The following is a 12398-nucleotide window of genomic DNA, read 5'->3' on the forward strand; positions in this document are numbered from 1 at the left end:
GTACAAGTATATATTATATATGTAAATATGTGTACATATAAATATATACTTTATATTTTTATATATTTATATATCTTTATATTTATATATATACTTTATATATATATTTATATATATATATATATTTGCAACAACAGGCAAATCCAAATAGTGCAGTAGGATAGCATTATCAAGTTTTTTAAAAAGTTTTGCTGTACTCCTGTAACAATTTTAAAATAATTGGGGGAAAAAGATGAAGGAAGAATACAGAAGGAGAACTATATCAAAAAATATATTATTAACAGATGTACTGAAATTATAGGCTTCTTCTGAAATTTATATATCAGAACCTAGAAATAAGGTTTTGTCTGGGGAATAAAAATTTCTACCTTGAAAGTTACAATGTATAAATACTATGGGGTACTTTACTTTTCTATTGTTTTCGGGTTTTATTTGCTATTTTTTATTTAGTTATTTTATTTCTCTTTCATTCTACAGTGGCCATTCTGGAGAAGAAGTACAGTTATGCAGTAAAGCCATTAAAACATCAGATATCGACAATCCTAGCCACTTTGAAAAGCAATATGAATCTAGTTCTTCTAGCACTCACAGTGATAGTAGCAGTGACAATGAGCAAGACTTTGTTTCCTCCATTCTACCAGGAAACAGACCAAATTCAACAAATATTAGACCACAGCTGCACCAAAAAAGCATAATGAAAAAGAAAGCTGGTCACAAAGCTAACTCCAAACACAAAGACAAAGAACAGACAGTAGTAGATGTCACTGAGCAGTTAGGCGATTGCAAATTAGATAGTCAGGAGAAAGATGCTACATGTGAACTTCCTTTACAGAAAGTAAATACTCAGAGTTCTTCAAATAGCACTTTGCCTGAAAGATTAAAAGCGTCAGAAAATTCTGAAAGTGAATACAGTAGGTCAGAAATAACTCTAGTAGGCATAAGTAAGAAAAGTGCAGAGCATTTTAAGAGAAAATTTGCCAAATCAAACCAAGTGTCTAGGTCAGTGTCTAGTTCAGTGCAGGTGTGTCCTGAAGTTGGAAAGAGAAACTTACTTAAAGTTTTGAAGGAGACTTTGATTGAGTGGAAGACAGAAGAAACATTGAGGTTTTTGTATGGCCAGAATTATGCTTCTGTGTGTCTGAAACCCGAAGCCTCTCTGGTTAAAGAAGAACTTGATGAAGATGACATAATCTCAGATCCAGATAGTCATTTCCCTGCCTGGAGGGAATCTCAGAACAGCTTGGATGAGTCTTTACCTTTTAGGGGCTCAGGTACAGCCATTAAACCACTGCCAAGTTACGAGAATTTGAAAAAAGAAACTGAAAAGTTAAATCTGAGGATCAGGGAGTTTTACAGAGGACGGTATGTTTTGGGTGAAGAAACCACCAAATCACAAGACTCAGAAGAGGTATGTCTTACAGACATTGAGTTTTTCCAGATCGTTAACATTTGGAAAACTCACCACAGCAAATCTTGGAGCAGGAAGGATATTGAAGAGTTAATTGTTAAATTTTCAAATAGTTTCTTTAGTCATTCTGCCTTTTGGTTTACAGTGCCATCTCCACTGTTGGCATTACTATTTTACAAATAAGTTGACGTTTACCCCTAGCAAATTTTCATCAGTGTGCAATATTTTTTTCTAATGTAAAAATAGCCTAAAATGGTGGGACAAAGTTTTCCCTAATTCTTCATACAATAAATGAAGCCTCTGAAGAGGCTTGCTTTTTCTTCTTCGGTATTCTTTCAGATTTTTACATGGGGTCTGTGTGTGTGTGTTTAATGGAAGTATATGCCATGGAATAGACTTGGTAGTTACATTGGAAAATATTTAGCAAGCATGTCCATTGAAAACATTACAGATCAAAATAGTTTGTAAAAGAGACTTATTGGGAAATAATGGACAAAGAGAATGGAAAGCACATTCAGATAGACCTAGATTTGAACATCTGTTGTGTCATTTACTAGCTGTATGAAAAATTAGTTTCTTGGTCTGTTTGCTCATCTGTAAATGGAACTATTAATAGCTTCTCTTGCTCAATTGTTATTTGTTTTAAAGATAATGTGTATAAAGCATTTATCACAGTACATGACATATAATTGGTACTCAGTAAATAGTACCCATATGTAGAGATTGAAAATGTGCCACTGAGATTTAGAGAGCATCTTTTAGTATTTCTACTACCCATCTTTGATTGATGTATACTCCCTGGAAAATGAAGTCATTTAACATGAAGAGGAATGGGTAATAACCTTGTTTTTACCACAAAACTTTGTTCTCAAATATTCCTAAGTAAATGTGGCTCTAAATTTAAAAGCACATTGGAGATTTGGAAAGAGGGTAGAAGTAGAAATGTAGTAAAAAATTTAGAAATATATTTCTATAGAGTGTTGCTTGGCCCAGCACCCTACTTCAAATCATTTCAAGTATCTTATTAGACATCATCCAAAACTTATATTAAGCTAGGAGAAACATTGATCTCTGTCACTGAGCTGCATAAACCTACCATAGAACATCACTTATTTTATCATTTTGTCCTTTTTAGCCTTAAAAAGGAAAAAATAATCCCTGAAATTTGACTTTTAAAAATTTATAACATTTTCCAAAAATGTTACATAACATGTTAAAACATTTCCATTGAAGTACAACACAAATAGTAATTATATGATTTCTTGAGTATTCACATATGAATGTCCTGATGTAATCACTACCCAAGCCAAGAAATAGGTCATTACAAGTAAACTAGAAGCCCCATATATATCCCCTCCTAATCAGCACCTCTTTCCAAAATTAATATTATATTAGCACAGATTAGTTCTGTCATTTTTTTTCCAGTATATATTCTTGGTGTCCAGTTTATTTCATGCAATATTATACTTTTGAGTCATTTGTGTTGTTGCATATAGCTGTAGTTCATTCTTTTATTGCTGTATAGTATTCCATTATATAAATATACCATTTATTTATGCTAATGGACATTTAGACTATTTCCAATTTGGGGCTATTATGAACAATATTCTTAGGAACTTTCTCGTATTTATCTCTCTGCTAATATGCGTATGTATTTCTGAAGTATCTAGGACTGGGAATGGTGGGTTATCGTATATGCATATATGCAACTATACTAGATAATGCCAAACAGTTTTCCAAAGTGGTTGTACCGGTTTACAGTTCCACTACTACTATATGGGAGTTTCCTTGATTCCATGTCCTCCCTGGTACTTGATATAGTTAGTTTTAGCCATTCTGGTAGTATTGGTTTATGATTATAATACATTACTGTGATGATGAATAAATTCAGCACTATTTTATTTGCTTATTGACCACTTGGATAATCTCTTAGGTCAGGTCTGCAGATCTCTCAGCCATGGATACCAGCACCTGCTCTGGTGGAGATGGCAGGGGGGTGAAATGGATTCTGTGAGGATCCTTGCTTTTGGTTGTTTAATGTACTATTTTTGTGCTGGTTAGCCTCCTGCCAGAAGGTGGCACTTTCAAGAGAGCATCAGTTGTGGTAGTATAGGGAGGATCAGGCTGTGGGTAGGGCCGTAGAACTCCCAAGAATATATGCCCTTTGTCTTCAGCTACCGGAGTGGGTAGGGAAGGACCGTCATGGGGGCAGGGCTATGTGCGTCTGAACTCAAGACTCCTTGGGCAGGGCTTGCTGTGGCTGTTGTGGGGGATGGGAGTGTGGTTCCCAGGTCAGTGGAGCTATTCCAGGAAGATTATGGCTGCCTCTGCTGTGTCATGCAGGTTGTCAGGGAAGTGGGGGAAAGCTGGTGGCAGGCCTCACCCAGCTCCCATGCAACCCAAAAGACCAGTTTCACTCCCACCATGTCCCTTCAAACAGCACCAAGTTTGTTTACAGGCAGTGGGCAGGAAGGGCTGAGAACTTGCCCCAGGCTACCAGCCTCTCACCTGTGAGAACAAGTAGGGCTTTCACATCTCCCAGCCTGTGGAGTCTGCACACCAGATTCACACCCTCCCTTGAGTTCTGGCCAGGAGACTTCCTGTTCATTTGGAATTGTTACAAAGTTCAGCTGGCCTATCATATGGTCTATCTCGGAGACTGTTCCATGTGCTGATGAATAGAATGTATATCCTGCTGTTGTTGGGTAGAATGTTCTGTAAATATCTGTTAAATCCATTTGTTCTAGGGTATAATCAAAATTATATCAAATATTCTCTCAGACCACAGTGGAATTTTTTAATTTCTACTTAGATTTCATTGTTGACCTAGTGATCATTCAGGAACAGGTCTTGATGACCTGTCTAGTGCTGTCAGTGGAGTACTGAAGTCCCCCACTATTATTGTGTTGCTTTCTATCTCATTTCCTAGGTCTCGTAGTAACTGTTTTATAAATTTGGGAGCTCCAGGTTTAGATGCATATTTATTTAGGATTGTCATATTTTCCTATTGGACTAGTCCTTTTATCATTGTATAATGTCCCTCTTTGTCTTTTTAAACTGCTGTTGCTTTAAAGTTTGTTTTGTCTGATATAAGAATAGCTACTTCTCACTTTTGGTGTCCATTTGCATGGAATATGTTTTTCCACCCTTTACCTTAAGTTTATGTGAATCCTTATGTGTCAGGTGAGTCCCTTGAAAAGCAGATACTTGGTTGGTGAATTCGTATTAATTTTGCCATTCTGTATTTTTTAAGTGGAGCATTTAGGCCATTTACATTCAATGTTAGTATTGAGATGTGAGGTACTATTCTATTCATCGTGCTATTTGTTGCCTGAACAGCTTTTTTTTTTTCATTGTCTTATTGTTTTATAGGTCCTGTGAGATTTATGCTTTAAAGAGATTCTATTTTGGTATTATTTCCAGGATTTGTTTCAAGATTTATCGCTCCTTTAGCAGTTCTTGTAGTGCTGACTTGGTAGTGGTGAATTCTCTCAGAATTTGTTTGTCTGAAAAAGACTATCTTTCCTTCATTTATGAACCTTAGTTTCGCTGGATACAAAATTCTTGGCTGACAGTTGTTTTGTTTAAGGAGGCTAAAGATAGGACTCCAATGTCTTCTAGCTTATAGGGTTTCTGCTGAGAAATCTGCTGTTAATCTGATAGGCTTTCCTTTATAAGTTATCTGATGCTTTTGCCTCACTGCTCTTAAGATTCTTTCCTTCATCTTGACTTTCGATAACCTGATGACTATGTGCCGGGGCAATGATCTTTTTATGATGAGTTTCCCAGGTGTTCTTTGAGCTTCTTGTATTTGGATGTGTAGGTCTCTAGCAAGGCTGGAGAAGTTTTCCTTGATTATTCCCTCAAATATGTTTTCCAAACTTTTAGATTTCTCTTCTTTCTCAGGAACACCAATTATTCTTAGGTTTGTTTGTTTGACATAATCCCAAACTTCTTGGAGCCTTTGTTCATTTTTTAAATTCTTTTTTCTTTGTTGGACTGGGTTAATTCAAAAGCCTTGTCTTGAAGCTCTGAAGTTCTTCTACTTGCTCAATTTTATTGCTGAGACTTTCCAGTGCATTTGCATTTCTCTAAGTATGTCCTTCATTTCCCAAAGTTGTGATAGTTTTTTATTTATGCTATCTATTTCACTGGAGATTTTTCCATTCATATCCTGTATGATTTGTTTGATTTCTTTAAGTTGGGCCTCACCTTTCTCTGGTGCCTCCTTGATTAGCTTAATAATTGACCTTCTGAATCCTTTTTCTGGCAATTCTGAGATTTTGTCTTGGTTTGGATCCATTGCTGGTGAGCTAGTATGATGTTTTGGGTTGTTAAAGATCCTTGTTTTGTCATATTACTAGAATTGTTTTTCTGGTTCCTTCTCATTTGGGTAGACTGTGAGAAGGAAGATCTGGGACTCAAGGGCTGCTGTTTAGATTCTTTTGTCCCACAGGGTGCTCCCTTGATTTGGTGCTCTCCTCCTTCCCCTAGGGATGGGGCTTCCTGAGAGCCAAACTGCAGTGATTGTTATTGTTCTTGTGGATCTAGCCACCCAGCAGAGCTACCAGGCTTCTGGCGGGTACTAGGGAGTGTCTGCAAAGGGTCCTGTGATGTGATCCGTCTTCAGCTGTGGATACCAGCACCTGCTCCAGTGGAGGTACAGGGGAGTGAAGTGGACTCTGTGAGGGTCCTTAATTGTATTTTTTTTAAGTGCGCTGGTTTTGTGTTGGTTGGCCTTCAGCCAGGAGGTGGTGCTTTCAAGAGTGCATCAGCTGCAGTAGGATAGGGAGGATACAAGCTTGCTCTGGGGTCAGGCAGTGGGTAGGGCCATAGAGCTCCCAAGAGATTAAGTCCTTTGTCTTCGGCTACCAGGGCCAGTAGAGAAAGACCATCAGGTGGGGGTACCATTGTGTGATTCCCAGGCCAATGGAGTTATGTTCCCAGGTGGATTATGGCTGACTCTGCTGCATCACACAGGTCACTAGGGAAGTGGGGGAAAGCTGGCAACCACAGGCCTCACCCAGCTTCCACACAGCCTGCAGCCTAAAAGGCCAGACTCACTCCCACCGTGCCCCCACAACAGCACCAAGTTTATTTCCAGGCAGCTGATGAGCAGGGCTGAGAACTTGCCCCAGGCTACAGGCCTCCCAGCTGAGAAAGCAAGCTGACTCACAGTTCCTTGCCTTTTCTGGTATGTTTCTGCGGTAGTTCTTGGAGCAAAAGTTCATGATGGGAGTCTCCACATGCCGCTCTGTCTGACCAAGTGGGAACTGCAAGTTAGTCCTGCCTCCTATCTGCTATTTTTTCCCAGACCTAACATTTATTTTTAATATTAAACCAACTTTGCATTCTTATAATAAACTCAACTTGATTGAGCTATAATAGCCTTTTTATATAATACTGGATTTGGTCCTCCTAATATTTGCCTTAGAATTTTTGCACATATTTTCAGAATGAGTGACATTAGCGTATGAATTGGTCATGGTCTCATCATAAATCACATGGTACAAATTAAGTAATCTGAGGAAAGTTTAATTATAGGACTGTTTTCCAAAGCGTGAAAATGTGGTCAGAATGAAGGAAACCAAAGGAATGATACACTAATCATAGTTTGAGAGCCCTCACCACCCCTAGACCTCAAGGAAAAAGGTAGGAGTGGACCACAAGGTCTTGTACCAAGGAAGTGCTGCTTGTAGTGGACCAAGTGGGAATGACTCTTCTGCACCGTCCAGTTTCTTATTCTTCATTGGCAAAACTGAGATAAAAGCCAGAGAGCAAGGAAGCCCATTGATGCAGCCCATACAGATCAGCCTTCTGAAGTACAAAGACAGGTGGAAAAGGGTGAAAATTGTTCAGAATGAAGATACCTTGCACTGCCTATAATTTTCCTTTCTTGTAATATCGTTATCAGGTTTTGGTTGTAATCATTTGGTAAAACAAGTTGGGAAATGTTCCCTCCATTTCTGGAAGAATGTGTCTAAAATTAATGTTAGTTCTTTAAATGTTTAGAAGATCACTCATTGAACTATCTTTTCCTCTGATTTTCTTTGTGGGTTGTCAATTTTTTTTTTTTTTTTTTTTTTTTTTTGAGATGGAATCTTCTCTGTTGCCCAGTCTGGAGTGCAATGGTGCCATCTTGGCTCACTGCAAACTCCACCTCCTGGGTTCGAGCGATTTTCCTGCCTCAGCCTCCCAAGTAGCTGGGATTACAGGCACCCGTGCCATGCCTGCCTAACTTTTGTATTTTTAGTAGAAACACAGTTTCACCATGTTGGCCAGGCCAGGTTGGTCTCGAACTCGTGAGCTCAAGTGATCTGCCTGCCTCAGCCTCCCAAAGTGCTGGGATTATAGGTGTGAACCACCACGCCTGGCCTGTGGGTAGTCAATTTTTAAAAACTTTTTGTTATGGAAATTTTCAGAAACACACAAAGATAGACTAATACAGTGCTTACTATACAATGTGTGGTCCATGGAACCAGCAGCGTCAACATCATCTAGAAGCCTGTTAGAAATGCAGACTCTTATCCCCACCCCATATTTACTGAATGAGAATTACTTTTTAACAAGATCCCCAGAAGATGAGCATGCACATTAACATTTGAGAAGCACTGTTGGGGTGTGGTGGTTTGGGTTTGGGTTTTGGTCTGCTCATTCCATCAGTCACTGAGAAAGATGAGTTAAAAATCTCTCACCTTAATTGTGGATTGATTATTTCTACTTTTATTTCTGCAAATTTTACTTTTTGAGACCATGTTATTGGGTATAAATGTAAAATTGTTATGTCTTCCTGGTGAATTGAAACTCATATCACTATGGAGCAACCTTTCTATTTGCTTTTTTTCTTTACAGTCTACTTTGCTGACATTAACATTCTTGTATTAATGTGGTCAAGGACAATCTGTCTAGATTGATAATCTTTGTCCTTTATATGGAGAATTTAATCTATTTGCATTTCATGTCACAATTGGTATACAGTATTTGGGTTTAAATCTACCATCTCACTCCTCTTTCTATGTGTCCCACTTATTCTGTCTTCCTTTTCTCTCTTGCTTTCTTTTGCATTGAATCATTATTCCATTTTTTAGCCTCTGTTAAATTGTTTTTATATACTCTTTTACTGATCATTAAATGGTTACCCTAAGTGTTAAAACCTGAATCTTTGTCTTATTAAAGTCTAATGTAAGTTAATACTTTTATTGCTTCCTGGACAATTAGCACCTTAGCATGATTTAACTCCATCTATCCCTCTTGACTTATGTTCTGTTATTGGATATTTTTATTTTCTCTAAATTTCAAATATATTGCAAGATTATTTATAGCCAATACTCAGCTGGATTTATTCAATTAATTACTCTTTCATTGTTTTTCATTCCTTCTTCTATCCCCATTCTTCCATCTGAGATCATTTGCCTTGTGCCTGAAGAATATACTTCTCTTAGTATCAGTTGATAAAGAATTTTCTCAGTTTTTCTTTGTCAGAAAATTATTTTACTTTCACTTTTGAAAGATATTTTTCTATATTGAATTTTAGATGAGCAGTTATTTTCTTTCAGCCCATTGAAAATATCATTCCCTTGTCTTTTGGCTTACATTTGTATCTCTTATTGCTACTCCTTTGAAAGTATTGTGTTTTCTTCCTCTAGCTTCTTTTAAGGTTTTTTTTTGTAAGTTTTGGAATGTTCCCAGTTATCTCTTAGATATTGCTTCTATTCCATTCTGCCTCTTCTCTTTAGTCTTTTTTTTTACTGTATCTTGTAGGTCTCTTAATCTCCTTTGTGCTTTACATTATGTGTTTGGGGAGTGGTGACTGTGCTTCATTCTGGATATTTTCTTATTCAGCATTCTCTCTTCAGCCATTTCTACTATGCTTTTATGTCTCCCCATTAGTTCTTACTTTTAAATACCGTATTTTTCTATTCTAGGGTTTTCATTTTGTTATTTTATGTAGTTTCCAATTATCTGTCAAAAATTTTCAACCTCATAATTTTTCTTTGAATATATTAAACATGTATTTTAAATAATGCTGATAACTTCATTATTTAGATTCCCTGAGGATTGATCTCTGTAGGCTGTTTCAGATTTTTATCATATTGTCGTGTTTTATTATATGCCAAACATTGTATATTAAAAATTACAGAGATAACTGGAGACTCAGGATGATGTTATCTTCCTCTAGAATAGATTTATATTTGCTTCTGACATGATTTGTAGCAGTTCCATGTCACTGTAATGTAATCAGAGATTAAGATGATTTCAAGGTGGGATTCACTCCCTGAAAGAACTAGTCTATTTCCTATTCTTACTGTTATTCCTAGAGTATGGTCTTTCCAAGTCCTGGTCTCATACTTGGGGAAGGTTGCCCATACCCCTGCCTTCTTGAAGGATACCCTGAACTCTTTTTATTAGAAAAACTGCTCAATTTCTCAATATCTAATTAGAAAATTAGTGCTCTATCTGTAATTACCTTCTCCAGGATCTCAGACTGTAATTCTTTATAGCCTCGTTAGCTCTCTGATGCTAACAAATGTGTTTCAAACAAATGTGGATTGTTTTCCCCCAACTTTTTTCAGTTCTCAGAGAGAGAGTCGGTTTGAATTATCTTGTCTGCCATTTCTAGAATGGTTAGGGGTCAAATGACATAATGACTGAACTCCTCATAATATATTTATAGTATTTGCTAATTTTAATATTTTAATCCCCTACATTTGTACAGCACTTAGCAGTTTACAAAATCTTTTTGTTTACATTTTATTATTTAATAAAGGAGGTATTAATATCCCAATTATAAAGATGAGAAAACTGACTCTCCAAAGAGGGCAAATGACTCAAAGAAGTTCACAACAGCCTAACAACTGAGTTGATACTCAAATTTAAATCTAATTCTCAAGTCTAGTTATTTTCCTACTGTGCCACAGATACAAACTTTTGTGTTTTAATGTTTATTGTTCTGCTTATCAAAGAAAGAATGTAAACTTATGATTCTGTTTTGCTTTGTTTAAAAATGTGATTCAGCATGATTCCACCTTTCCACTGATAGACTCAAGTTCCCAGAACCAGATTAGAAAACGCATCGTACTTGAAAAGTTGAGTAAAGTGTAAGTATGTAATTGCCATTCCAGCTTTGTAGTAGTTTTAAATTAACTTGACATTTAAGCTCATAATGTGTAAGTATTATCCTCAGATTTTGAACATTTTGAAAAATAATGTGAAAAGTTCACATGGATTTCTTCACTTAAGAAATTTGGATTTTTAAGATATTTTATCCAAGAAATACAAATTTTTGTGTAGAGGACACAGAGGCACATCATAAAGAGGAAGGTTGAGATTGTGGGTTTAGAAGACCAAACTACCTTACTCCCACCTAATCAGTGAAGTCAGGGAAAAAATATCAAAGCTAGACCCATTTAAATACTGATTTGCGGTAAATGTGTCACAGCAGTTTCAGATGCAAATAAGATGTTATTACAAAGTTTTAAGGGTCTGTTAAGTCACTCTGCATGCATATCCTTAGAACCATTTCACACTCAGCAACATGAGTTTTTGTTCAACTCAACGTTGCACTTTAGCTTTAAACTTCCCGTGGTGGAAATTATTGTTCTTGTAATTAGCCCAGTCATAAATGACATTTAAAAATTGCTATCTTGGTTTTTCTTTCAAAAAGAACTTGAAGGTTTTTTTTTCCCAGAGGTATGAGGGCTGTGTTGAACTTTTCAACCTGCATTTTCTTATTTTAGCAGAAAACATGGAAAAGTGTGTCAGTCATTATTTAAGGGTTGTGAATATGAAGTTTTATTTTGTAGCAGTTTGAAAATACAGAAAACATTTCACATTAACCAAGGCATAAAGAAGAGTGAAGACAAAACTAATTATGGTATAGGAGTTTTTTGTTGTTTGTTTATGAAAGCTGTTGGGTTTTTTTCTCATTATCAAAGTTAGACCTTTTTTGGTTTTTTATTTGAACCAACCAATTGTAAAAAGTGTTTATTTCAGAGTATCAGAGGAAATAAAATATGTTGTATATTAGATGACACTAAGGAATTGTTAATTTGGATGGTTATGATCATTTTATTGTGATTATATAAGAAAGTGCCTTTGTATTTAGAGATAAAAATGGAAACAGTTAGGGGTCAAATGACATGACGACAGGGATTTACTTTAAAATATTACTACAAAATAAGAAAAAAATGTGCCAGGTGTGGTGGCTCATGCCTGTAATCCCAGAACTTTGGGAGGCTGAGGCAAGGGGATCACCTGAAGCCAGGAGTTCAAGACCAGCCTGGGCAGCATAGTAAGACCACATCTCTACAAAAATAAAAATAAAAATTCGGCCGAGTGCAGTGGCTCACACCTGTAATCCCAGCACTTTGGGAGTCTGAGGCAGGCAGATCACAAGGTCAGGAGATCAAGACCATCCTGGCTAACACGGTGAAACCCCATCTCTACTAAAAATACAAAAAAAATTAGCCGGGCGTGGTGGCGGATGCCTGTAGTCCCAGTTACTCAGGAGGCTGAGGCAGGAGAATGGCCCGAACCCAGGAGGCGGAGCTTGCAGTGAGCCAAGATCGCACCACTGCACTCCAGCCTGAGCAACAGAGTGAGACTCCATCTCAAAAAAATAAATAAAAATAAAAATTAATCGGGTGTTGTGGGGCTACTACTCAGGAGGCTGAAGTGGAGGATCGCTTGAGCACGAGAGTTTGAGTCTGCAGTGAGCTATGATTATGCTCGTGATTAAACTGTTCTCCATAGTGGGTGTACTAATTTACATTCCCACCAACACTGTATGAGGGTTCCCTTTTCTCCACATTTCTCACCAGCATTTGTTATTGCCTGACATTTGGATTATGCCACTGCACTCCAGCCTGGGTGCTGAAGGGAATGAAAAATGAAGCAAAGGTAGCAAAAATTAAGAAATTGAATCTGGAAATAGATATACGGGATTATTACTATTCTTTCTATTTTGGAACATGTGTGAAACTTTTTATAC

General features: G+C 37.0%; 2 protein-coding genes across 6 annotated transcripts in view; one reads left to right on the forward strand and one right to left on the reverse strand.

Annotated features, from left to right (window-relative positions):
* GLMN (glomulin, FKBP associated protein) overlaps nucleotides 1-12398 on the reverse strand; it is a 124443-nt gene that overhangs the window by 76566 nt on the left and 35479 nt on the right. The window lies entirely within an intron of this gene.
* The window catches only part of RPAP2 (RNA polymerase II associated protein 2), a 102998-nt gene that overhangs the window by 23909 nt on the left and 66691 nt on the right, over nucleotides 1-12398 (forward strand). For all 5 annotated transcript variants that reach the window (NM_024813.3, XM_047430820.1, XM_017002363.3 and 2 more), the window contains exons 8-9: nucleotides 478-1408; nucleotides 10424-10506. In NM_024813.3, coding sequence (NP_079089.2) covers nucleotides 478-1408; nucleotides 10424-10506 — 1014 coding nt within the window. The remainder of the gene's footprint in view (nucleotides 1-477; nucleotides 1409-10423; nucleotides 10507-12398) is intronic.

This window comes from Homo sapiens, chromosome 1, assembly GCF_000001405.40.
Source record: "Homo sapiens chromosome 1, GRCh38.p14 Primary Assembly".
Classification (NCBI taxonomy): Eukaryota; Metazoa; Chordata; class Mammalia; order Primates; family Hominidae; genus Homo; species Homo sapiens.